Source organism: Homo sapiens, chromosome 5, assembly GCF_000001405.40.
Source record: "Homo sapiens chromosome 5, GRCh38.p14 Primary Assembly".
NCBI classification, from domain to species: domain Eukaryota; kingdom Metazoa; phylum Chordata; class Mammalia; order Primates; family Hominidae; genus Homo; species Homo sapiens.
Window position 1 is genome coordinate 141,729,722 of NC_000005.10, and position 26,835 is coordinate 141,756,556.

Consider the following 26,835-nt stretch of genomic DNA (forward strand, 5'->3'; position numbering starts at 1 on the left):
CATTGAATGGAGAGGAAATGGGGTTTCACAGAGGCTCCCTGGGGCCCAGCAGCCTGGAGGACAGGGTTCTCTGGGGCCAAAGAGAAAGAAGAGAAAAAGACATCTAGGACTGCCTCCACCCCACCCCCGCATATCCCACTGTGTCTTGGCTAGGAAATTGGGGACTGGTTGTTGAGAGAGGAGGAGAAGTTCAAGAGTGGGCTCTGACATTCCTGGGCTTGCGCACCACTCTAGGATGAGTTCTTCTAGGAGCTTGGCTATCTAGAGTTGTGAGTGCCTTATTTCACCTTAAAGCAAGCCCAGAAAATTGGCCTCTGATTCCTCAGTAATCTAGGATTTGTGGCTGGCCATGGGTAAGCTTGAATAAATGGTATCAAATTAGCAGACTGAGTCCTTAGGAAGAGCTGGGAAGGGGACTGCCAGGAAAGCCTTGTCACCCCTTTATGAGGCTGTCTTTGGCCTTCTGGATGGATGTGGGTGAGAGATCCCTGAGTCCCTGTGGCCTGGGGAATGGCCCATGTCCACCTGCCCTAGATCTTTCTTGTCTGCGTGTTCCCTTAACTCTCCTCCCTTATCCTCTGGCTCCCTTCGTGTTGTCCCCTCCATCTGTCCTTTTTGTCCAGTTGTGGGCTTCTTCTTGTTCTTCCCTCTCCATTGAGCCTGCTTAGCCGGCCAGCCCTCCAGCAGGGGTGATCATCCGTTTTCACATTTCCAGTGCTTACTTGGACTGGACCACTCACCTTGCTCCTGCTTCTTGCAGGAGGGCTGTCTCCCATGTTGTCTGAACAGCCAGTAGCTACAGATGTCCAGGAGCTGGTGAATATCACCCTTTGCCTGGCTCCAGCTCCACCTGGTTGCCCAGATCTTCTTCAGTGACCCACCCAGGTGCCCCAGGGTTTTCCAGAACCCCATCACTATAGATTCAAGAACATCACTTCACCTTTCAAACACAGAACTTACTGCCTACCTCTCCCCTACTCGCTACTGGGGCCTTTCTGAGCAATGCATGAAGGGACGGGGAAGTGGTGTCCACAGTAGGAAGGACCCAGGCCCAAGCCAAATTTTCTCTTTTCTAACCTCTGGCCCCGCTTCTCTTCCTTGCAGTCTCCACTCTCTTCTTGGGAGCTTCTCCAAGTTTCCATGGCAACCACTACTTCCTGGCCCCAAATCCCTAGGACATGGACAATTTCAAGGTCAGACAGAGGCCTGAAGGGTGATAGAGGCCTTATATTGACTTCCCAGGCCCCTTCTCTGTTGCTGCAGGATTCCTAAACCTAGATGACAAATGATCATTTCTTTCTGTATTGAAAAAAAGAAATTCACCATCTCCAAAGCCTCTCTTATGAGAGGCAGGTACTGCTGCCCCCTCTTCCTTTCTAAGTCTCTTCTCTCTACTTCTTGGCCTTATCTGAGCTTAGGCTAAAGCCCCAGGATACACCCCAGTCAGAAAGAGGCTCAGGCCCAGTTGGGCAGGGCATGCTATGGCCATGAAACAGATACCTCATCAGCTTTCACTACGTTGTCTACTTCGGGTCCCCTGGGCTGTGGGAGGCATGGGAGAGGGGCAGGGGACATTGCTGTGCTCTGTGGCAGGACCTGAGAAAGGTGCTTAGATGCCTATATACTAAGGTGTTTTTCTGCAGCCTGGACAACCTGTGAGGTTTTCCTGTCTGCCTTTTGAGTTGAGATCGGATGTCCTGGGCTCTGACTGCACATCAGCCACTAATATTAATGCAGATGGAATCGGAGCATTTAGACAAATACGTAGCTCCCATTTCCTGAATAGTTAGTGAGAGTCACTCAAGCATCATAACCTTGATGGAGAGAGCTACAATTATCCCCATTTTACAGATGAGGAAATGCAGGCTCAGAGTGGTTGAGTACTTGCCCAAGAACAAACAGCAAGAATGGCGTGGAGCTGGGATTTGAATCCAAATGTCCAGAGCTCCTGCTCTTAAATGTTGCAAAATACTTCATAGGCAGGACTCTTGCCACTTCCCGCAGCTCAACTCAGTGCTTTAGCTGGGTGTTGTCACCACTGGGGCTCTGAGGCCAGAAAGCTAGAGTCATGAGAGGCCAGGAGCTCTAAGGCCTGTCTCAAGGGACCTGCTAGTGTCAGGGCTCTGGGGCTGGGAAGGAGCTTTGAGAGGCTTTCTCTCCACCTGATGGCCACCCATACCCACCCTGTCATTGGGGGCTGACAGGAGCTGCTTTGCCAACAAAGGTGTCCCTGAAGCTTTCTGCGAGCTCGTCACATACCTCTCCCAGGCAGGGAGTCACTGGGCTTGACTCTGCCTTTCTAGCAGGTGCTGCTGCCACTCAGGGCTTCCTGAGGAGGAGGAGTCCTCCCAGGGCCTGCCTCATGCTCCCATAGCTTGAGATACACAGTCAGCATGTTCCTGCCTTCCCCCCAGCCCTTTGAAGCTGGGGTCACTAAGCTCTGGAGAAATAGCTCCCCACACCTAGCAGATAGAGCCTGGACTACCCGGTGTTGTGACAAGCTGGAGAACCTCCAACTGGCACTGAGGCCCTCTGTCATCTAGATCTCCCTTCCTTACACAGCTGCTAGCATGGGTTCCTTCCATCAGACTGGTCCCATGAACTGGCCCCTGGGCCTTTGCTGTACATGTTGATTTCATGCCTCTCCTTTTCTCTCCCCTTCTCCCCTCTCTCTTCTCTGTTTGTCCAAATCCTGCCCACATAGGAAGGTTGAGCTCCACTCTCACCTCCCCCAGGGAGCCTCTCTGGACTACTCCAGCCTACAATAAGAGCTCCTTCCTCTGAGCTTTCACAGCTCACAGAATATAACTAAATTCTATGGTATCTCTCATCATATATTAGTCTTGTTTTTCCAATTAGTCCATCAGTCCCTTGAGGGCAGGAGACCACAGGTGACCCCTTTTTGCCTCTCCCAGTGCACTTAGAGAAGGGTTGGGCTTTCTTGGAACTCATCCATGACTGGTTGGCTAATTGGAATCTGCTGAACTCTATTCAGGGCCTGGCATGTATGTGTACACTGTATATAGATTTCATGTGTCTGTGTGTACCCTTGATTTACATGTTTGCACACATATGTAAGGTATCTGTGCTCATGCATGTGAATTATGGTTCATGTATGGCACTATGTGAATAAATGGTTTAATTAATTCAACAGGCATTTATTGAGATCCTGTCACAGCTGGGCACTGTGCCAGGTGCTGGGGATATGATGGTGAGTAAGAAATGGACAGCCCTAGCCCCTCAGAGCTGGGAAGAGAGACCATTAAAGAAGTGATAATAATAAGTGAGCTAAGTGCCATGATGGGGGAGCACATGCCAGAGGCCCTGACTTTAACCAGTCTAGGGAGACAGATCAGGGAAGAACTCATGGAGAAAGGAAAAGTTGGCAAAGACTTAGTCTGTTGAGGGTTAAATTGTGTCCCACTCCCTCCAAAATATATTCAAGTCCTAACTCCCAGTACCTGTCAATGTGACCTTATATAGAAATAGGGTCTTTGCAGATGTCATCAAGTTAAGATGAAGTCACACTGGATTAGTGTGCACCCTAATTGAAAGACTCTGGTGTCCTTCTAAGAAGAGGGGACACAGACACAGACACAGGAAGAATGCTATGTGACCACAGAGGTAAGATTGGGGTGATGTGTCTACAAACCAAGGATTGCAGCCACCGGAAGCTCTTGAGGGCGGGAGACCACAATTGACTGCCTTTTGCCCCTCCTAGTGCACTCAGACAAGGGTAAGAACCTTTCTGGCACTCAGAGAGAGACATGGAACAGATTTTCTCTCTGAGCCTCCAGGAAGTAACCAATCCTGCTGACACCTTGATTTCAGACTTCTGGCCTCCAGAAGTGTGAGAGAATAAATTTCTGCTGTTTTAAAGCCACCCAGTCTGTAGTAATTTTTATGGCAACCCCGGGTACCTCATATAGAAGCTTACTAAGAATCCACCATGTGAGGAAAAGAAGGGAAGAATGATTCCATCATAAGGAACAGATTACACAAAGGCAAGGGGGAGTTAGAGGCCATGGCAGAGAGAAATGAAAAGTTTAGTGGGGTTGGAATATTCCCTAGGAGGTGGGAATGGGGGGTTACATTTTAGAGCATGTATGTGTGTCCATATGGTTTGCATGACTGTGATTATATGTATGTGAAGTTTATACATGCATGTGCTTTTCGGAGTTTTGCATGTTTCAGCCTGTTTTTATGATTCATGTGTTTCTGTATGCTCTTGCATGATTTGTGTGTGTGTCCTGACCTGTGAGCATGTGTGCCTTGCATGTCAGTGCATGCATGTGCACAGTCTACAGGTGTGTGCATTGAACCCAAAGAAGTTGGTCTATGGTTGGTCACAGGAAGATTTGAAGCCAGGCAGAGCCCTGTTTCCTCATCTATGTGGTTGGGGCTCACTGTAAATGGCAAAAACTTGGTCAGACTGTGCAATGACTCAGGTAGACACCAGGAGCTCAGAGCTCATCTGTCTTGATTCAAGAAGATCAAAGCAGAGTGGATGATGCCTTGACTGCATTGGTTAGCAAGAGGCATGTGTGGTACAGAACCACTGAGTCCTTGTGTTTGACAGCTGGAGGTGGCCTTGGAGATTGTTCTGATTCCTCTTGCACCTCAGCCCAGCCCCACTGGCACTACTCCTGGGGAGTGCCCAAACTCAGTGCATCTTCCCAGAGAACATCTTCTTGGTAGAGTCCCACTCCCTGGGCAAGTTTTACAGTGGAGGGCAGGAATCAGGAAGGACACCCCTATCCCAGGCCCTCTTGATGGGATGTGCAAAGGGTTGGGTATATGCATCTTTTTTTCTGAGGAGATTACAGCCAGATAATCCATGACCCAAGAAATCTAAGAACCACTTCTCTAGTCTAGGCTGACATTGAGAGTGTGAGCGTGTGCATGATATGTGCAGGTGTGTGCAAGCATGCGGAACTCCCAACCTGTTTTCTCTCTGAGAATATGGTTGGATCAGGATGTCAAGTGCAGCCCCAGGCCCTACCAGCTGCTGTGTGGTCAGATTGCAGGGGCTGTCCTTGACAAGGCTGGCAGAACAGACAGAGCCAGTGTTAAGGACAAAAAGGGAGGGGCAGAGGCTGCAGCTCTGTAGGGAGGGCTGGCTTGTAACCTGAAGGAGCTCATCGAGATCAGCTCCCTGATCATCCCCATCCCTTATATGATTCACATTGAGGATGAAGCCTTGGAGGTGGAGCCAGGATGGGTGTGTGGGCAGGGATGGGACCATAGGTTGCACAAGGAGCATTGTGAAGTTCCTGTGTAACAGGAATTGAGGCTGTTCAGGACCTTGGTCAGCACCCCTGGGTTCCCGCAGCACCAGTTTCTCTGCCTGTTTCCAGCCTGCCCTATTTCAATGCCTCTGGCTATGATGGAGATGCTGAGTTACAGTGAACCTACATATAAAGTTCAGGATATAGTTGAGGGCCTTGTCAGGGCTACAGGAATTTTTGAGAGACTGGATGTGAAAAAGGAGGGTCTCTCACATGGGAGACTCAGTGAGGGGATACTGAGCCCCAAAAGAATGAAAAGAGAGGATCTTCCAGAGGTCAGGGTGGGCGGTGGTGGGGGGGAGGCTTGATGTGGGAGCCCTTGGCTTCAGACTCATCCAGTGGGAAGGAAGAGGAAGAGCATCCTGGTGAGGAAGGGGAGGAAGATTCTCCAGCTCGGGTTGTGTTTCTCTTTCCTCTTCTCTCAGGCACTGGGACGAGACAGCCTGAGCCTTACCACCCTTGCCCAACCAAACTCTCTCCGGCTGTGGGCTCCCCAAACATTCCAGGATCAGAGGCTTCCCTGAGGCTATTCTCTGAGACTTGTCCCATGTCCCTTCCTTCTGCTGTCCCACTCCCTTCCTTTCCTGGCACCATCACAGCCCTGCCCTTTGCACCCCTGTCCTAACTGGTAGGACTTTGCTGCTGCCATCCTCTGGCTCCCAGACATGATGGCTCTTTTCCTTCCAAAGAAATTTTTACAAGCAATTAATTAACCTCATCAGATCCTTTCTGTGGGTCCCAGTGCTAGGAGGGAGGCAGGAGAAGTGCCTTGTCCCCTGAGGCCAGTCAAGTGGATATGTGGCTACCTAGGCAGCTGCTGGGAGGATTCTATCTCAGGCAGCCACCTTTTACTCACTCTGGAGCCAGCAGTGTGGGCCCAGGTCCTGGGAGAAGTGAGGTTCACCCTGTCTGCTCGCAGCCCTGGCTTAGTCTCCAAACTGCCTTCCTTATTGGCTCCCTCCAACTTCCCTTTCCTCCTAGTTCTCCCCCAGGCAACTTCTGGGATCAAAGGTTGCATGCAAAGTACAGGGAAGGAATGCAGGTAAGTGTAAAGGAGCATGACCTCAGGTAGCAGTGATAACCTTTCCCCTGCATGCTGGGCCTGCCATTTTGGTGTAGCAAATGGCATGGAAATACAGGCAAATGCATAGTGTCTGCATGCAAATTGGCCCAGACATCCTGGCCACTTCCCTGGCAGCATGCAGCCCCTTGGTGTACCTGCAGGGTCTGATCTCCTGCGACCCTGAGGAGTGGTTCCTCAAATGGTCGGGCACTGGTGAGGGGAACACTGGGCCTACCTCAGCTGGTCCTGATGCCTGTGGATGAGACCCCTTCCTTCCACTCTGAGATCCCAGCTAGGCCCTGGGGTTTACTTAGTGTGTGACAGCGGGGGAGAGGCTGGGGCTGAGAAGAAAGGCAGAGGGAAGAGAGACAAAGTGGTGCATTGATTGTGCAGCTATCAATGCTGGGCTCTGAGCTAGACATGCAAGTTAACTCATGTTCTTCTGACACCCCAAGAAGTTCTTAAAGAACCTGAGGTTTAATGAAATGCAGCAACTGGCTCAAGATCTCACATTGAGTAACTTGTGAAGCCAGAACTAGACCAAGATTTTTATTATCTGAGCAAAATTAAAATGTAAATCAGATAGTGCCATCCTCTGCCCAAATCACTCTCATGGCTTCCCAGTGCTTTTAGCAAGAAATTCTCTTCCTTTCCACGGCCAGCAAGACCATGTCCCTTTCCTCCACCTCATTTCTCACTCTGCCTCAGCACCAGGCCTTTTTATGTTCCTCTAGCACATGTGCTCATTCTCTTCTTAAAGCTCTTGCACTTGCTGATCTGCCTGCTTGGAAACCTCTTCCTCCAAATCTTTATAGAATGGCTTATTCTCATTCTTCAGGTCAAACTCCACCTCTCAGAAGGCCTTCCCTGACTGTCCAGGCAATAGCAGCCTCCCTCCTTCCCTCTCTACCCCTTCTTCCCAATTTATTTTCTTCACAGTACTTAACAGCATCCGAAGTTATTTATCTGTTCACTTGTTCATTATCTGTTTTGCCCACTAGAACATGAGCTCCTTCAGGGTACAAACTGTGTCTCTTTGGTTCACCATTGTATTCCCAGGGCCTGGTGCTTAATAAGTGCTCAATAAATGTTTGATGAATGAATGACTTCAGAAAAGCTTCACTAGACCCCAAGGGGGCAGTGAGAGGAAGGAGGACAGGCTGGGTAGAGCAGTCAGCTGCTGGGCTGCAGACCACATTGAGGCCTGACCACTGAGGCTCTGGGGTTCATCGGAGAGAGTCCATCTGCCCAGCTGTCATTCTGATCATGAGGTGGCCTGGCCTCCCTTCCAGCACAGCGAACACGTGTGAACACATTTCTTCAGACTTCGAGTGAAGCCAAGTGAAAGGGACAAGGCTGCCTGGTGTTCCTGGACCAGAGATGTATGCCTTTGGGCTCCCTACATGTTCCCAGCCTTTCTTTATTTTGGGTGAGGTTTACGGTGGCTCTGCAGCCCACCCTGCCTGCCCCCAGGGTTGCAGCAGGCATTGCCTGGCAGGGAGAGACTGCTGCTCAAAGAACCCGATCTTTTGCATTCACTGACATTCTTGGATTTGGCATTTACAACCTCAGGGCTCTATTCCGAGGAGGCCTTTTGCATTTGATGTAAATATTATGGTGATGAGAGGTGACACTGAGAATACCCTGTAGGAAATGTAAATCCACCCCCACCAGGCTGGGAGCCTCTCCCCACTGCTGCTTTGGGTTGTTATTCAGGGGACTGATTCCTTCCAGTTCTTGAGTTAACCCACAAGAGCCCGCTTCACGTGTAGGCAGCAGGGTCTAGGAGTAGTACATTAGTTATTTCTCTAATTTGCAGAGGCACATTCATCCATCAATGTGGGATGCAGTGGCAGGGCCAAATGGCCCTGCAGCCATTCATTAAGAGGAGGGATGTCTCCTCCAAGAGGAGGCTTGGGCAGTTAGCTCTGGAGGGGTGGGGTTGGGGGATCAAAGCTAGTAATGGGCACTGTATTCCCAGAAGTCAGCTACTCTCCCAGCTACTTCCTCATTGACTCCCGGTTTCTACTTGTCTCCCAACAGAGTTTAGCCCTGGATCTGTGTGTCACTCTAAGCACTGGGGACCACTTTCAGCTGCAGTGCCCCTTGGTGCCACAATTTTACTCTCTTCCCAAACTCCCAGGGAAATGATGTTCATAATCCCCACTGGCAATCATGGTGGGGTTCTGGGACTGGAGCAGCTGTGCCAAGATGGTTTGCAGGATCAAGGAAAGAGGTAACATCTTTACAATAGTATCTCTTTGATACGCTGTGTGGCTGGGGACAAGTGACTGAATCTCTCTGAGCTTTGGTTTCTATATCCTTCAAATAGGGAAGATAATACCTATGTCATATATGAGGATTACATCGGGTTATGTGAGCGCATGTAAGGGGCCTAACACAGGACTTGACATGCAGTGACTGCTCAAGAAGTAGGGGCAGGTTTTGTTGTTGTTGTTGTTTTGTTTTGTTTTGAGATGGAGTCTCACTGTGTCACCAGGCTGGAGTGCAGTGGTATGATCTCGGCTCACTGCAACCTCCACCTCCTAGTTCAAGCGATTCTACTGCCTCAGCCTCCTGAGTAGCTGGGACTACAAGTGTGCACCACCATGCCCAGCTAAATTTTTGTATTTTTAGTAGAGACGGGGTTTCACCATGTTGGCCAGGATGGTCTCGATCTCTTGACCTTGTGATCTGCCCGCCTCGGCCTCCCAAAGTGCCAAGGGATTACAGGCATGAACCACCGAGCCCGGCTGACGTAGGGGCAGTTATTATTAGGTACAGAGGGCTTGTGAGACATAATGCAGACCAAGGGGCAGATGCTGGCTTGCAAGCCCAGAATTTACACCTTTTTTCCCTAGTTGTGCCATGAACATAATATCTACAGTGACCAGTCATTCAATCAATAAGCATTGATTATTTGGATGTGTAATGAGTGTTTATTATTATCATCAGTAAGCTGGTATAGCATAGAGCTCAGATTCTGGAGTCAGAGAAACACAGTTCAACTCTCAGCTTGGCTACTAAATATTGGACTTTTCTTTTTTTTCTTTTTTTTTTTTTTTAGACAGTGTCTCACTCTGTCACTCAGGGTGGAGTGGTAAGCAGCACAATCACAGGTCACTGCAGCCTCGACTTCTCTAGCTCAGGTGATCTTCCCAGCTCAGCCTCCTGAATAGGTAGGACCACAGGCACATGTCACCATACCCAGCTAATTTTTTGTGTTTTTTGTTTTGTTTTGTTTTTGTTTGTTTGTTTTTTGTAGAGATGGGGTCTTGCCATGTTGCCCAGGCTGGTTTTGAACTCTTGGACTCAAGCAATCCACCCTCTTCGGTCTCCCAAATTGTTGGGATTTCAGGCGTGAGCTACCATGCTCAGGCACTGGACTTTGTTCAAAGTTTTGATTTCTCCATCTCTAAGAAGGAAGTGATAATAGAACCCATGTCAGATGTTGTGAAGATTAAATGGGATAGTGCTTGGCATATAATTGGTTCTTCATGAATGTTACAACAAAACATTTTGTGAGGCTGGGTGCAGTGGCTCACACCTGTAATCCCAGCACTTTGGGAGGCTGAGGTGGGCGGATCACCTGAGGTCAGGAGTTTGAGACCAGCCTGACCAACATAGTGAAACCCTGTCTGTACTAAAAATACAAATTAGCCGGGTGTGGTAGTGCATGCCCATAATCCCAGCTACTTGGGAGGCTGAGGCAGGAGAATCACTTGAACCCAGGAGAAGGAGGTAGCAGTGAGCTGAGATCGCACCATTGCACTCCAGCCTGGGCAACAGGAACGAAACTCTGTCTCAAAAAAAAAAAAAAAATTGTGAGGTGTAAGAGGAGACTCTGGATTTGAAATAAAAGATCTGGGTTTGGCCGGGCATGGTGGCTCACACCTGTAATCCCACCACTTTGGGAGGCCGAGGCGGGCGGATCATGAGGTCAGGAAATCGAGACCATCCTGGCTAACATGGTGAAACCCTGTCTCTACTAAAAATGCAAAAAAATTAGCCGGGCGTGGTGGCAGGCGCCTGTAGTCCCGGCTACTGGGGAGGCTGAGGCAGGAGTATGGCATGAACCTGGGAGGTGGAGCTTGCAGTGAGCGGAGATCACGCCACTGCACTCCAGCCTGGGCAACAGAGCGAGACTCCTTCTCAAAAATAAAAGAAAAGAAAAAGAAATAAAAAGATCTGGGTTCAATCTACTTCCATCCCCTATTTATTTACTGTGCCATCTTGGGCAAATCACTTCACCTCTATTTTCCAATCTACAGACAGGATACAATGTCACCTAGTTTCAGATTGCCATGAAGAAACCTTAACATTTGGCATGGAGGGGAAGCTCACTATTTATGTAATAAATGAACAAATGAATGAGGTAGAAAGATTTTAGGATCTGGATTCAGAGAATTTGCATTGGCATCCCAGGTTTATTGTTTACTTTCTGTGTAATGGAGGACAAGTGACTTCACCTCTCTGAACCTTGGGTCCTCTCAGTATAAAACAGGGTAATATCTATCCCCAGCATTATTGTAGAATTAAATTAGACAGTTAATATTAAAATACCTTGTAAACCACAGGGCACTGTGCTCGCTCTAGTTTAATATTACTTTGTGCAGAGCCCTGGGCAAAGAGCTATGAGGGCTCCAAAGATATGCAAAGTCCTTGCTCCTAGCCCTAGAGGAGCTATGATAGACTTGAGAAAGGAAGGCATGAAATGGGGGGCAGAGCTACACAGAGATTTCCACCCATTCATTGATTGCACACATATTTACAGAGTGCCTTCCAAACACTAGGCATGAAAGGTCTCCTGGAGATATTAGGTTAGGCCAGATGGAGGGGCCTTGAACGCCAAGGTAAGGCCTTTGGATTGACTGTTCCATGGGTAGAGGTTTCGGAAAGTTCACATGTCATCTATGCTCCTGAGTTCGCTTGTGAACCAGGACTCTGGCTTGCTGAGTCACTTCCCTCAGTCACTCTCTGAGGGCCAAATGTGCACAGTCCATTGTAAGGAGAGCATTTAAATTAGCCATTCAGTGGGTGGCCCCTCCTCAAAGGTCAGTGGCCTATCTGGCCACCACAGCTGGCGGCCACAAAAGACCTGCCGAGAATCCTGCCGAGAATCCAATCTAATGGAGTGGTAAAGGCTCAAGCCACTCTTCCTGGGAGTGGGAGGGTGAGTTGCAAGGTGATTTTGCTGCTGTCACAGTCTCCCTTTAGACACGGCCTGTCCTCGAGGGCAAAAATAGCAGCTTTAGAGGCAGGAGAGTTTTGTGACATCATCCCCAGGTTCAGCCAGCAAACCTCACTCCAGCCAGTAGATCTTGTTTGCCCCTCGGAGATTTATGCCAAGGTCCTAAGGGACAACTTTGGTGGCCCTGGGGCTCCTTCCAGCCCCCTGGCCCCAGTTCTGGACCCTGCCTATGAACCAGAGTCCCCAGCTCCACCCCACTGTTTACACACCAGGTGAAGAGGAGCACACTCACTAGTGCACTGTGGCTGGACTCGTGTCTACCTCCATCTCTCCAGGGCTGAGTGCTATAGGCCTGCAGGGCCCGCAGGGCCTGCAGCCTCTCTGGGCTAGGAGCACACAGGCTGAGCTGAAGATGCTGAGGATGGCACCTAGCCTGGAGGCTGAACTGAGGGGAAGACATTCTGCAGTCTCTGGGAGGTGGGAGGGAGGGAGGGTGGTTTGCAGAGAGAATAAAGGAGTTTATGCACAACTCTGGGTGTATGTGTGTATTTGCATGTGTGTGTGCCTGTCCTGCAGCAGAAGATGGCAGGCAGGAATGGGGACTCCACAGCCTCCACTGATTAGAAAGGTTTTGAAATTGATAAATTACTTTGTATTGGGGCAAAATGATTTGACCAGGTTTCAAATGTCTCAGAGAAGGGAAGCTTCTCTTGGGCCAAGTATTGATTGCATTTAATAGAGCTGGGACTTTCTCACTTAAAAACAACAAAATAAACATCTAAGAGAAGGCACCAAAACACATATGCTCTCTCTCTCTCTCTCTGTCTTTCCTTCCTTCTTTCCCTTCTCTCTAAGGACAGGTAGGGATCCAGAGACCCACTCAAGTCTGGGGTGGGGGCAGGGGCAGTGCCGATGTCAGAGCCATGGAGTTCCTTTGGGGCAGATTGATGGTGGGGGCTCAGGAGAACAGGGAGCCTTGGGTTGGTCCCATTCTTCACAGATTGATTTTGCCAAACAGCAACTGTCAGAGCCTTTGATAAATCACTAACCCAGTGATGAATGCCCTGAGGCTGGGTGGGGTGGGGGGAAGGATGCTGGTCTGGGAGGCAGCCCAGGGAGGGAGAGGGGCAAGGATGGAGGGCTGAGGGCAGCAGGAGCCAGCTAAGGAAAAGTGAGTCCTAGAAATCCTGTGAGATACCCCTGGCTAGCTTACCCTGGACTCATCTCTCAACAGGACTTGACCATAATTATTGACTCAACAGTGCTTCAAATTTCATTTTCAGTCTGTCTCTTGTCTGTCTCTTGCTGTCTGTCTCGCTGTCTGCCTCTTTATCTGGCTTCCAAATGGACTCTGACGGTTTCCTCCCAAGAGATGATTCCTTTGGACCTCTTGGAAAGTGGAAAAGAATGTGGGGAAGGCTGGAAGCAAGTAGGGCCTTGGCAGTGGGAAGTGGGAGGGGAGGGGCGAGGTGACCTCCTGGAATGGAGGGATGAGGCCCAGCAGGGACCTGGACCAGCGGGGCGAGGGAGGGGCTGAGAGAAGGCAGATGCAAGCTTGCAGAGCAGACCTTGCCAGAAAGAAGCCAGTTTTTAGGAAGTCTTATTCTTTATGGAAGGAAAAGTTATGCCATGGGATTCTCTTATCCATCGAAGTAGTGAGAACAGAGACCTGCCCCAACTGAGCTCCCTGAGGAATAAGGGCAGAGGGGGAGAGGGACCAACCCAGAATCACAGAACTGATCTCTCCTCATGGCCAGAGCCTGCCTTGGAGGCAGCCCAGTTCATAGACCACAAGTTTGAGTCATCCCTGAGTGACCTTGCACGTGTGACTTAGCCTCACTCACCATCTGGTTCCTCATCTATAAAATGGATGTTAGAATAGAGTTACATGAAGTTTATATTAATTAAGATCGTGTGTATAAAGTGCTGAGCAGAGGGCCTGGCCCATAGCAAGCACTCAGTAAATATTAGCTGGGAACATTAATGTTCTCCCTGGTAGCAGCATGGCAGATTCTGAAGTCACAAAAACTCCTCGCTCATCCTGAGAGTAGAGAACTCTACCCAAGTTACTGATCTACAGGCCAAGCCACGTCGATCTTCTGTCCCCACTGTCAGTGCTTATGCACCCTGGGCAGAGGCCTACACTGCCTTTTCGGTAAAGGCAGCTGGCCCCTAGCCCTCCGGATGCCTGCTGGCCGCCGGCAGGTGTCTGCTGGCCCCGCGGTGCCTGCAAACGTGAGTGGGACTTGGTGCTGCTTTACCCATTGCACACAAGGCCGCTCCCAGGCTCCCTCAGCCCTTGGCCCTGTCCATGGTGCTAACCCACATCCCAGCCCAAGCGGAATTTCTGACTTCAACCCCTCTTGCCCCCCAACTTTAACATCTCTGAAGATCCCCTCCATCACCAGGAATGAATTCTGAGCTCACGTTCTGGAATGCTGCCAGGAAGAAGGAAGTGGTGTTAGTATAAAGAATCACACAAAAGGCCGCAGGTAATTATGTCTCTTTTAAGCCGCTAACAGGATTGGCCATTTGATAAATGGGAGGATTTGAGGCTGTTTTGTCACTGACAAGCTGTTGTAAGATCATATTGGAAGTTGAAGACAGTTTATCTTCATGTGTGTGGTGGAGAGAGGGGAATTCTCCGTGGATTTTACACCCTCTTTAAATTAATGTGATTTCCTAGGCTGGTCCTGTGCACGGGAGTGAGTGATCTTTATGACTCACCCCCTGATTAGATTACCTGGCTCAGTAGCCACCTCCAGCCCCTCTGAGTGCCCTCACCCTCCCAGGCCCCTCCCTGCTCTCATTCCTCCAGCTCCCCTCTGACATCCCCACTCCCTCCTCTAGCCCTACTCTCAGGTCCAGCTGCTGAGCGAGCCCACAGTTCAATTACTGCTATCTAGCCTGAGAGACAAGGAGATCTAGTTTCTTCAGTTCCTCTGAAGGGAGCAGAAGAGAGGGAGGTAGGATGGGAAGAAGAGGGAGGTAATGGGAGAGGGAGGGACGGAAGCAGTGGAGGAGAGAAGAAATGAGACAAAGAGGGAGTTGAAACAGAAACAGAGAGCCAAGCTGAGCCAAAGAAAGGAAAGAAAAGAGATAAAAACAGTAGCAAAGAGAGAGGAGGGATTTTTCTTTTATTTCCAGAACCTTCCTTAAAACACAGGCACCAAGGTGGCCTCCTTCCTTGAACCCCCAAATGAAGCAGTCCCTTCCAGGCATACTCTATCAGGTAACCGTTTTATCTTCCTCATAGCACCTGCCACAATTATCTTGTTTATTTATTTGCTTTTACAATATTTGTCTTCACTGCCAAATTATAAGACCCATGAGAGTAGAGATCCTGGCTGCCAGGTTCTTCCCAGAACCCCAGCACCCAGCATATAATGAGTTCTTGGTCCATGTTTATAGAATGCATGGTAAGGCAGGGATTTGAAGGGGGTCTGAAGGGGCAGGGCTGGCTTGCCTTCCTAGTCGAGGTCTAGAGGTGAGTGGGAGAATGCAGAGTCCAGGGCTGGATCACCATGGGGAGACACTTCTGGGGAGGAGAATGCTTCAGCAGTTATTTTGGGCAGAATTAGGTATCCTTTAGGACAATGCTTCTTAAAATGTAATCTGTGAACTACATGCATCAGAGGACTCTGGGAACCTGCATTTTCACAAGCATTTCACAGGATTCTGATGTAGTGAAGCTCACACTTTGAAAAACACTCTCCTGAGAAATGGGTAAACTAGAGGCTCCTACTCACAGGGAAACCTCAGCAAAACCAGGGATCTGGCCTCAGGGTGTGTGTGAGTGTGTGTGTGTGTGTGTGTGTGTGTGTGTGTGTGTGTGTGTGTGTTAGAGGGGTAGTGGTTGGAATACCTGCAGTGAAATAAGAAAGCTAAAGTCCATTATTTCCAGCCCAGGTGCCACTTCATTTTACACACACACACACACACACACACACACACACACACACACACACAATTCGGACTACTTGTAGGGGAACTGCCAAGTTCAAAGGAAGGGTTAAACCTGCTGGAAAGAGTTTTCCCACCCTACCCAGGACCCTTGAGAGTGAGGAGGACAGCAGCAAATGTGAGGAGAAGAGCCCTCCCTGCCCTGTGCCCAGGGGCCTCTGCTGCCCCCACCCACTGAAGTCTTTGCAGCTGGTAAGTCATGCCTCATTTCCCAGGCAAGCTGCACACCCACCCCCAAGCCCCAGGCCAGTCTCCCTTTTCAGGGGATCTCCCCCAGACTTGTCAGCAATGTATGCTACAGGATTGATTGGCTGCTACCACAGCATATCACCCCCTAATACACACACACATGTCACAGCCCCATCAGACCGGACATGGGCAGGGCCTCTACCAGATACCTGAATACAGTGGTGGGTGGTCAGGGGTGAAGGCCATATACTTGAGGAGTGGGACAGCCTGGGTATGTCCACGCTGGGCCTCATCCCGGGCCTGAGAATAGGGGAGGAGTATAGAAGACAAGATCCAACCAGTTTGAAAAGACAACTCATCTGCACTTCCAGCCAGTAAAATCAAAGAATGTGGATGGAGCTACCACCACCTCCCACTCACTCCAGGCTCCAGTGACTCTGTCCTTACTTCATGCCCCAAACAATCCAAGCCCTCTCTGCCTCAGCAGTATCCTCGCTTATGCCATTCCCTCTGCCTGCAACATTCTTTGACATTATTCCATCCCTTTTGCCTGGTGACTTCTGCTTCTCTTCCTTGGTGGACCTGTACAGATCCCAGGGCTCTGTGCCACCGTGGCTCTATATCTTTCACCATTTGCACCACTTGGCACTCTGGTCATTATATATTCAATGTCTGTCTCCCACTGGACTGTGAGCACCATACTAGGAAGGACCATGCTTGTGTGTCTTGTCCAGTACTGTATCCCTGCCCCACCCCCTTGCAGTACATGACACACGGGGGGCACTCAGGTGGGAAGAATGAGACTTAAACAGATTAATTTATTTCAACAAATGGCTCTTGAGCATCTGCTATGTGTCACATATGGTGCTAGATCCTGAGGTTGCAGTCATAGCCAAAAAGGCACTCTCTCTCCTCTCACAGAGGCTATGATCTAGTGGGGAGGTGCATAGTTGCCTGTACAGATAAATGTAAAAGTGCAACTGGGAGAGTGCTATAAAGGAGAGGCTCATGGTGCCAACACTAATATATAAAAGGAGGATTTGGTTAAGTCAGGAAGGTTAGAGGAGGCTTCCTTAGAAGAAGACATTTTTTGTGAGAAAGAGAAGCTTGTGTAGAGCAACAGTGGAGGAAAAAGTGTTCTGGAGAGAGAGCGGGAGCAGTTTGTGCAAAGGCCCTGTGGCAGGAGGTAGCATGGCTTCTGCAAGGAAATGAAAGTCTAGAAGGGCTGAAGTGTGTGGAGTGAGTAAGGAGGCTGGAAACTAGACAGAGACCAGGCCATGCAGAGCCTTGTCAGCTGACAGAGGGAATTTGCTTCTTCATCTAAGAGCGAAAGGTTTAAACACTGAATAGTTTAAACAGCAGGGGGCTGAGCATTGGAGGTAGTGATATGATCAGAATTGCATTTTGAAAAGGTCACTTAGGCTTCAGCACGAATAAGGAAGGGAGGGGGTCTAAAGGAGGCAAAGAGACCAATTAGTGGCATGTTGCAACCACCTAGGCTTGGACTATGAAGGTGGTGTTAGAGACTGAGCATTGTAGAGTTTTGAGAGAAAGTTTTCAAGCAGCACCACAGATTAGTGGCAAAAGCAGGACTAGTACCCATCCCCAGCCTTTATCCCTTCCTGAAGCCATTGGCCTCCTTCTGGTATGTCCAGTGGGCCAACATCAGGAGGGGTTCTCAGGCCTCCTCCAGAAGTATCCCCTGCTCTCTGCACACACAGGTGCCCATGTTCTGTACTGTGTTCCCTTTGGGATGCCCCTATGCATCTTCCAAGCTGGAAGGCCCTGGCTGGATACCATCTAGGAGGTGGGTTCCTCTCACAGCCTCAGGTGCTTTGCATTCTGGGAATCGTAGTTCTAGAGCAGGAAGGCTGGGCCTGCTCCTGACTGGGTCTGGCAGGCAGCCTGGTTGCCATGGCAGCAGCTGGGCTGGAGCCACCGAACCATTTCATCCACAGCTCTGCTGGCTCTGAGAGCCTCCCAGCAAGAAAGCTTGGGCTCAGGGGAGGAGGGGGAGGGAGGAGAGGGAGAGAAAAGAAGGGAGGGAGGGGAGGACCTCCCGGGCCTCATCCTGCTCTGGGGCTTGTGGACTGAGTCGGAGAGAAGTCACCAGGTCATCCGCAGAGCAGGACTCCTTGACCACTGGGAGTCAGCTCTGCTGCTCTGTTCTTGTCAGTCAGTCAGACCCTGTAGGTTCAGTTCTGTGTATGCAGAAGCCTGCACCAGACACAGAGAAAGGAGGGAGCAGCCTTCATCCCCAGGGGAACTCGGAGCCTGCCTAGAAAGGCAAGAAAAGTCCGAAAGAATGACAGAGCCAGGGAAAGTCTGGTCCATTTTCCCCCCCTAAATGTTCCTGGAATCCATTCCCTTTTCTCTGCCCCTTGGCCACCATCCTGGTTTGTTCCATCTCCCCTGGATAAGGCTTTCTAAAACACACCCCTGCTTAAAATTCTTCAATGGCTCCCCTTTGCCCACGACTGGATCCAATCCAAATTCTCTAGTAGGACCATTCATAGCCTTTCAAATACTGGCCTGAGGCTCCCCATCTAGTGTCTCCTCATGCCTTCCCCTCAGCTCCAGCCACACAGAAATCCCCTAGTTCCTCTTTCATAACCCCCACCTTTGCACATGCTCACCTCTGCCTGAAGTGCCCTTCCCTCCCTCTGCCAACCTCGGAGCCGACCAAACACAGCTGAAACACCTCCTCCTCAGCGAAGTCTTCCAAAATCCTCTCCACCAGAGGAAGAATTAATGGCCTGGTGCTGTGAGCTCCCAGAGCACTTTGTACATCCCTCTCAAGCACTTATCACCCATGTTGTGATTATTGTCTCTGTAGCTGCCTCTCCCCCCGTTCTCTCCTGCATCTGAGCTGTCTTTGGGTCTCCAGTGCCCAGCACAGTATCTGACACAAGGTAGGTACTCAATAAATGGTGAATGGGATGGAGTTCACTGAAGGAAGGCTATTTGGGTCTTCATCACTCACTCTCCCTCCCTGTGTTCGGCTGCTGTTCCTGGGCCCCTTCCCTCCCCTGCTCCTCCCTTGGGTACCTGCATACCTCAAACATTGCAGCTGATGGGCAGACCTTATCGAGCGGTGCCTTCTATTCTGGGCAGGGTGGCATGGGGACCTGCACGTGGAGGCTGCAAGCCTCTTCATGTCACTGGGAACTCACATCAAGTCATACCAGTGTCCCTAGAGAGGAGGTACCTGTGCTTTCAATGGAGCCATGATTTATGGATCCAACTCCAGGAGCTGAAGAAACCAATTAGGCTTCCTTGCTTCTCTATCTGGAGGCAGGATAATTCTAGGAACGTTCTTCCTCCAGGGCAGAGGCTCCATCTGCTTGGACCTAATCCCTGAGGTTTGCCCATCCAGCCTTTTACCCACCTTTATCGCCTACTCCTTGGTCAGTAGCTCCAAACCTCCTGGGCCGGCTTTCCCTGCATAAAAATCGTGCCTCTAACACTTGAAATGTGGGAAGTGAGAGCCAGATTTCCATTCTTTCCTAAATCTCATTTCCTCATTATAATAATAGGATAAAAGTCCTTGTCTACCTAGGTTGCTCATTCATTTATGAATGTATGTATCATTCATTCACTCACATATTCCCTTCCATGAAGATTTAATAGACATCTACTGTGGGCTAGGTGCTGGATTAATCACTAAGGATGCAGACATGAACCAGAAAACATGGCCCCTATCCTCAGGGAGCAGCTTACAGTCTATGGGGAATATCAACCTCAAAGTGCTTTGAGGTAAAAGTACAGACTATTAAGGACAGGCTTGGCCTGATCTTGAACCTCCATATTTATTTACTCAATAAATATTTACTGTGCACCTATGATATGGCAGGCATGGGAGATAAGGATGGAACCAACTCCCCTCACTGAACTCCTTTTCTCAGCACAGAGACACACACAGCACAGAGAGGACTCTGAACAATCACTGTATACTACAACTGTATAGACAACTGTGGGAGGACCAGAGGAATGGAGAACGCAGGCTCTGTAGCCAAAAACATGAGGTCCAGACTTCTCAAGGTTTTGGATGATTGCCTGAGATGGAGAGATGGGGTCCTTTGTACTCCATAGCAGTGAAAATGAAAGGATGGAGTCTTGGTAGGATTCACTGGGCTGGGGGAAGAAGTAGCCTTCCCTTGATAGGGCCTAGAGGATGATGGAGCAAAGGGCTCTCACAAACAGAGGTGTGAAATGGGAGAAGCACTAGCCACACAGGGCCTGGAGAAGGCAGTCAGTTCCCAGAGCACATGGAAGCTACTGTGTCACTGCCTCCACCATTTGGTAGGAACTTTATTTTCTCCATTCTGGAGGTTCAGGAAGAGCTGGTCCAGGTGTCAGTCTAGTATTGTGGTGAGGAGGACAGAGGCTGGTATGGTGGCTGGATCAAGCTGTTCTCCTTCCTGCAGCCCCTAATGCTGGGCCCACAGCCATGAGCTGGCTCCTTAGTCCCTTCTTCTTTCTGCTCCTGTGACTTCTGGGAACCGGGGTCTTGACTCAAGGGGCTCCAGATAGACCGTGGTGGGGAATGGGGAATAGGGTGGATGGGTGGAGGTCCATGACTAATTCTTGATGTTTCCAGAGAAGAAAATAGATGCTGGCTTGCTCTGTGAGTTCTGGGGTCTCAGTTCTCCCATCTCTAAGATGGTGGGGTTGGATTAGGCAAACTCTAAGGGTTCTTTGGCTTCTCTTTCTTCTGCAGCTGGGAACAGGGAGATGGTGGAGGGAGGCTCTGCAGAAAAAGGCTGGCTCCACCCTCTGCCAAGGGACCAAATCAGCATTTGCTGACATTTCTCAGGATGCCCTCAGTGCTGGTGACATTTCAGAGACTTGCTCCCTGGCAGGGCTAGAGGATACAGGGCTGACCCCAAATCCACTGCCACAGGCCCCACCCAAGGACAAGCCTCACATTCCAAACAGCAGCAAGGCACCAACTCTGAGGTTAGTCCTGACTTTGCTAAGGGGCTAGAGCCCATTTTGAAAATGCTGACTGGGACAGGAGCGTAGCAGGTCTGGGCCCAGAGCGTTCCTCACCCCAAGCCTCAGTGTCTGCATCTATCAAATGGAGCCCATTTCCCTGCCTCCTTCAAGGGTAGTCTTGGGATTCCAACTACATAAATGTGAGCAAAGGAAAGTGTTTCATAAACAAGTGTGAGATGCTCTGATGGAGGCATTAGGGCCAGGGCTGGGGTCAGGGGGAGCAAAGCTTGGAAGGATTAATGGGATGCAGAGGCTGGAGGAACCAAGTCATATTCTGGCAAGAGCCATATGGTGAGTAGAGGCCAGCAGAGGGGACCCAGAGAACTCTGTGATGCTCTTGCTGATGCTGACAGATAGTCACAGAGCTGTGGGCAATGTCAGAACCAGCCACATAAGGAGGAGGCCCCAAGCCTCGTTCATTAGCTTCACTCTTCAGCCTTGGGAATGGGAGAGAGGCCAGCTTGAGAGGCCAGGTCAAGGAGACAGTCAAGTGCCTGAGTTTTGGAGTCAGAACTAATCCTGGCTCCATTGATCATGAGCTGTGCAGCCCTAGGCAAGTACTTAACCTCTCTGAGCCTCATTTTTCTCATCTGTAAAAGGGTCAGAGCCTAGTAATAATGCGTACCTTGCATGTTTCTTGGGAGAATTCGAGAAGCTAATGTTCATAAAGCACTTAGCATGGGCTGCCACATAGCAGTTGCTGAGTCGAGTTGCTTCACTGATAACCATATTAGTGGCATCAGCTCTCAACCAGGAGGCAGATTGGGGTTCACCAAGAAGCTTTTCCACCTCTGGTCAGCCTAGACCATAAGGAGAGGAAATCCCCCTCCCCCGAAGGTTTTTACACATTTAAATGTGCGCCAGACACCTAACGTGCTCCCAACTCAGTATGGTGGGAAAGAGGAAGAAAACTTGATTTCTAGTCTGAGTCCTAATTTGCTGATTGTGTGAGCTTGAACGACTATGTTCCCCAGTCTGAGTCTCAGTTTTTTCATCTTTAAACATGAGAGTAATCAGGCAAGGATTATGTATTGGTATTAATAACCATTAGGTGAATGGCTGATGGGGAAACGGACATTTGCGTGGTGTCAGAGTAACCCACAAACATAATTTACTAGAAGGAAGATGGGGAGGAAATCATAACTATCATCAGCAGGTGTCTATCTGAGCATTTCTCATGGTGGATGAATTTGATGTTCTACGTCTTCTGATACGGTGCAAAGTGAAGTATATGACATCGCCTCACATGTGTTCTAGCCAAGAATGTTGAACTTGAATTGTTCTAGCCTTTAGATCTAACTCCCTGTTTATAGAAAACACTGGGATAGTTTCACAACCTCAACAACAGCACAAGGAAGTAACCAGGCAGTTGGAAGGAAGAATATTCTGTGGGGAAACTAATCTGAATATTTCAATGCATTAATGACCAAAAAAACCAGGGGAATGCACCATTTTAAGCGATTTAATACACATAACAATCAGATGCTATCCCTGTATTGGATTCGGACCAACTGTAAAGGACTTCTTGGGGGTCATTTGGGGAAATTTTTATAGGTTCTGGGCATTAAAAGGGATGAAAATTTACTGAAATAGAAAAGGTAGAGATTGTTGGTTAAAAAACAGATCATAAAGCAGTATGTATAATTCAATCACATTTTGGTAAAAAGATACTTGTATGTAAGAAAAAGATCTGGAGGGACATGCATTAAGGTGTTAATGGTGGTAGGAATATGATGTTTTTATTTTTATATTTTTGCTTTCTGTACTTTTAAAATTTTGCACAATTCATATTTATTACTTCGGTAATAATAAAATGCTATTTAACAAATAAAATGGGAATAATAACTGTGTACCTTGTAGGGCTGTAATGATGCAGTGAGATAATGCCGTGAAGAACAAGGCCTGGCATAAGCACATGCTCAATAGCTAGGTGCTGCTAAGATGTTTATGCTGTTCCACCCCCAGCCACCATTAGACAGAGCAGGCTTATTAGAGATGTTCTCTCTGTCCCCAGGTTCTGGCACAGAGCAGGGCTCTACTGATGTTTTCTGAAGAAATTATTTCCATTGGTCCAGCATTTGTTGGACATCAAGGGAAGCATGTTGGAAATTGTGGCCTCGTGCTCGCATAGGTGTAGGTCCCCAGAGCCCCCTCCACCCCCTCCCATGAAACTAGAGTGTGCCCTCAGCTAGGTCCCTGCAATAAGCAAGACCTCTTGCAATAAGCAAGAGGAGGTGACCCTCTGCCAGTGAAGTAAAGCTGTAGTGAACTGAGCCAAAGGGAACAAACAGTTTTTCCCCCTCCCTAGACCATACTCACCCAACTATTTTTGCCATTGGCTTCCAAAAGCTTCCACCTTCTTGACTACCCTAAATTCTGGGACTGGGCTAGGGGCTGGAGGTTGAGTCTGAGGCTATTCCACAAATATGGACTGGGATTAAGGCTAGCCCTACCATTGGAGGGGGTTCTTAGTCTGAGTGTAGCTTCCCAGATAAAGACTCAAAATTGGGACCAAGCTGCAGTCTGTCCACTTCCAGGGCCTGAGGATTCAGTCTAGGTCCGAGGCTAGCCCCCTGTTGAGAACTGATTTAAGACTTGAGGTGTGCCTCGGTCGATCGGAAGCTTGCTCTTGGCTGAAAGCTGAAGCTAAGTCTGGTCCTTGATAAAGGAGAGGTTGCCCCTGACTAGGGGACAAGGGCTGGGCTATTTCATTCTCTGTCAAGGGCTGGGAGCTGGGTCTGTAGTCAGAGAAGGAGCCTTGGAGGGGACGGTCGGGAGAGGGGATGGCAGAGCGGGGAGCTGGAAAGGGGCTCTCCATGGAGAAACAGAGGCGCCTTCCGTGGATCCAGCTCTGGCTCCGGCGTCGGCAGCACCCGTTGGGGGTGAGGACGGGAGAGGAACGTCCCTCCCCGGGGCGGGGGGTGGTGTTGGGAAGCGGGAGAGGCCACGTGTGTGTGTGTGTGTTCTGGGGGCCCTAGGCACTGCAGACGCGCGGTGCGGAGGGAGAGAGACGGGCGCCAAGGAGAGGCTTCCGAGGGGGTCCCCGCGGCTGGAGAGAGGCCCTGCCTGTGTGGATAGCGCCCCATTACCCCCAGCTCCACCCCTCCGAGCCAGCCGGGCTCCCCGCTCATTAGGCCGACATCTCCTCCTTAATAAAAAATACATGAATAAATAAATAATAACAGCCACAACCGAGCGGGAAACCGCTTGCCACTCTTCTGTTTCCCCAGCTCCTTCCTTCCAGTGCGGCCCCGGGGGCTCCCGGGCTGGCTCGGCCAGTAAAGGCCCTCCTCTCTCCCGCCCTTCAGTGCCGCAGGCATCCCGCGACTGGAAGGGGACCGGGCTGGGGCGGGCGCCGCTCTTAGGGGGACTGAGCAGGCCCTTTGCGACCCAGACCTGCTCTTAGAGGGGCGTGGGACGAGAGAAATCTGGAGGGGAGTCTTTTCTCTTGACCTTCGAGGAGGAAGAAGCAACAGCTGAGCCTTTAGGTCCGGGTCTTTGGGTGGTCCCCAAGCACACAGACCCCAAATCAGGGAGAGGCCAGACACGGCGTGGAGAAGGAAATGGAAAGTGGGACGTCTAGAGAGTTTCAGGGGCAAACGGGAGCGAGGAGCTGGCATTTGCATAGAATGAGGAAACCAAGTACTTGGGAAGATTACCTTTCTTAAAAGGAACAACAAAATCACTTTTTCTTCCTCCTGGCAGTCTCGCGTTGGACTCTTTATCCCTGTGTGTCTTGCATACACTCTCTGTCTCTCTCCAATGCCTTCCCTTTCACTATCATCTCCTTTCTTACTCGGGTCAGAATGCCTCCGAGATGTGTGCCAGGAGCCACCTCTTGTTCAAGGTTGAGAAGTAATTCTGCCCCGGGACTCTGGTTCAGGACCATGGAGAGCATCCTATAAGGGAGCGGTCCTCTCCCAAAATAAAACAAGAACCAAGAACCCTGTGGAGAGTAAGGGAGCAGGTGAAGTAGAAGTAGGGCGGGGGGGTGGCAAAAGAGAAGGTTATGGGCCAAGGTCATTCCCAGCCTGGTCCTCCTAGAATGCATGTCTCTGAAGTAGGACTCAGAATTTTTGCTGCCAGGGACCAAAGGCCTTGGTTCCTCCATACCCCCAGCCCCAGCCTCAACCACCACCACCACCACAGGGTGGGGAAGGAGAGGAGCAGCCTGTCCTTAGAGTGTGTGGTTCTGGAGCACAGCCCATGCCAGGAAGCTCTGGGAACCTTTCTGTGTAGAGTGCAAAGCTAAACACATGCACAGATCCTGGCACAGAGAACCATGTGACCCTCGAGCAGATGTTGGGGAGGCTGTGTGGGGTATGTTGGGTGTTACAACCCTACGGGTGAGGGGGTGCTCAAGGGTAGGGAGAATAGGAGACAGGAACCAGAGTTCTGTTAGGCTAGTTCATTCTGGCAGCTGCAGGCTTGGAGTGGGGGTCAGGCAGAGCCTTCCCTGGCCCCAGCTCTGAACTAATGGGACCCAGGAGTCTCCTCTTCCCTCTAGCAGCTCCCTCTGGATGGAACAAGGAGCCAGATTTCAGGAGCAGTCCAGATGTTCAGGGGAAATGCAGAGAAGTGGAGCAGATGGGACCTGGGATTCCTGTGGGGGCTGGGGAAGGAGGGCAGCAGCTGGAGGATGTGCTGGGGTAAGTACTAGAGCTAAGGCTGGCTTCAGCATGTGCCACGGCATGTGCCACAGTGTGTGCATAAGACATGGGGCTTGGTCAGAGAGCAGTCTAGGTCAGGTAGCCCTGGGTGCTTTCCTGGTACCAGCTACTAAGATCTGTCCTGAGCTGCCTCTAGCTGTGGCAAGGCCTGAGGGGTGTACCCTCCGTGCCAGGTGCTGTGCTGGGAAACAGAAGTGAGCAAGATAGACCTTGCCTCTGCTCTAGGAGAGTTCAGCCTTTCCCCTTAATGCAGGGCTCTGACTTTGGCCCAGGGAACCCATGTTTCCACCCCGAGGCCAGAGTGGCCATTCCTTTAGAGCTGGAGAAGAAAAGCCTTCCTTGCCCAGAGGCCTGAGTGAGATGGCCCACACTGTCCCTTCATTTTCTACCCTGGGAGACCAGTTCACCTTCCCACCCAGTGCCTCAATCCCTGGCCATGTCATCCCTGCTGTTCCTTGAAATTTCTATAGTTCTCGGGAAGCTGTGGGACAGACAAGGCAAAGGGGTCTGGACACTAATGGCAGGATGAATCTAGAACTGATATTGCTCCTGCCTTCCCCATGAACTCAAGAACCCTAAGGGCTTTTGTGTTCCACCCCTACTTTGCTGCATCTGGCTGTGGCCAGCTCATCATCATCACACCAGCCTGGGAGAATGGTCATGAGCTCCACTTGGTAGAAGAACAAACCAAGGTACAGAGAAGTAAAATCACGGGTTGACGGCACACCTCTTCAACAGAGCCTGTTTGAAGTTTGCATGGCTCTGTTTTTCCTCAACTCCTCCTCTAGGCAATATGGTCATTCTGGCTCTGCACACCAGCCAGTTGTGTAGCACCCTGGACTAGTAAGTAGCTTTTCCTCTCTGGGCCTCCATTTCCCTATCTGTAAAACAAAAGGGCCTAAATAGGATTATCTTGAAGAGCTCTTCCCATTTTGCTGTGCTGTAGCATCAAAACCACCGTCTGTACTGGGACAGGGCGCAGTGGGGGTAGACTGCATGCTGATGGTCCCCTAACTGAGGCAAGGCACTGACCAATCTACCACTTCTGCCAGATCTGTGGGGCACCCTAGAATGTCAAAATGCTTGGCTGGGGTGGGGGGTGGGGAGGATGGTCCTCTGTAGGCTGCAGTGCTAGGGTTGGAGTGGGGCTGAGGGAGCCCAGGCCCTGAGCCCAAGCTCTGCCTGCTGGGGAGGGAGAGCAGAGGGAGGTCTGGGGTGGAGAGTGGGGCTAGCTGGGCAGGCCAGAGCCATGTGGGCAGAGCCAGGCGGGCAGAGCAGAATGAGGCTCAAAGCTCCAGGGCTTTACAAATGGATTTTGCTGAAATGGAAATTTCCACCCATCCCTGAAATGAGCCTGGCAGTAAGGCCAGGTTTGGTGGGGGCTGCGGCAGCTGGGTACGTGGACAGGGACAAAAGCCAAACTGTCAAAGCCTCTCAGGCCTATCCACCCCTCTCCATGCCACCCAGCCCCCT

At 50.2% G+C, this 26,835-nt stretch overlaps 3 annotated features.

Annotated features, from left to right (window-relative positions):
- Window positions 5,161-5,455: a silencer, noted in NCBI's record as "tiled region #9303; HepG2 Repressive non-DNase unmatched - State 10:DNaseD, and K562 Repressive non-DNase unmatched - State 10:DNaseD". NCBI's record gives its function as "represses a minimal TATA promoter and a strong SV40 promoter by Sharpr-MPRA in HepG2 and K562 cells {active_cell/tissue: HepG2 | K562}" and the evidence as "EXISTENCE:reporter gene assay evidence [ECO:0000049][PMID:27701403]".
- Window positions 5,218-5,418: a silencer, noted in NCBI's record as "peak5502 fragment used in MPRA reporter construct". NCBI's record gives its function as "represses an SCP1 promoter by STARR-seq MPRAs in K562 erythroleukemia cells {active_cell/tissue: K562}" and the evidence as "EXISTENCE:reporter gene assay evidence [ECO:0000049][PMID:32103011]".
- Window positions 13,681-13,975: a silencer, noted in NCBI's record as "tiled region #9103; HepG2 Repressive non-DNase unmatched - State 10:DNaseD, and K562 Repressive non-DNase unmatched - State 20:ReprD". NCBI's record gives its function as "represses a minimal TATA promoter and a strong SV40 promoter by Sharpr-MPRA in HepG2 and K562 cells {active_cell/tissue: HepG2 | K562}" and the evidence as "EXISTENCE:reporter gene assay evidence [ECO:0000049][PMID:27701403]".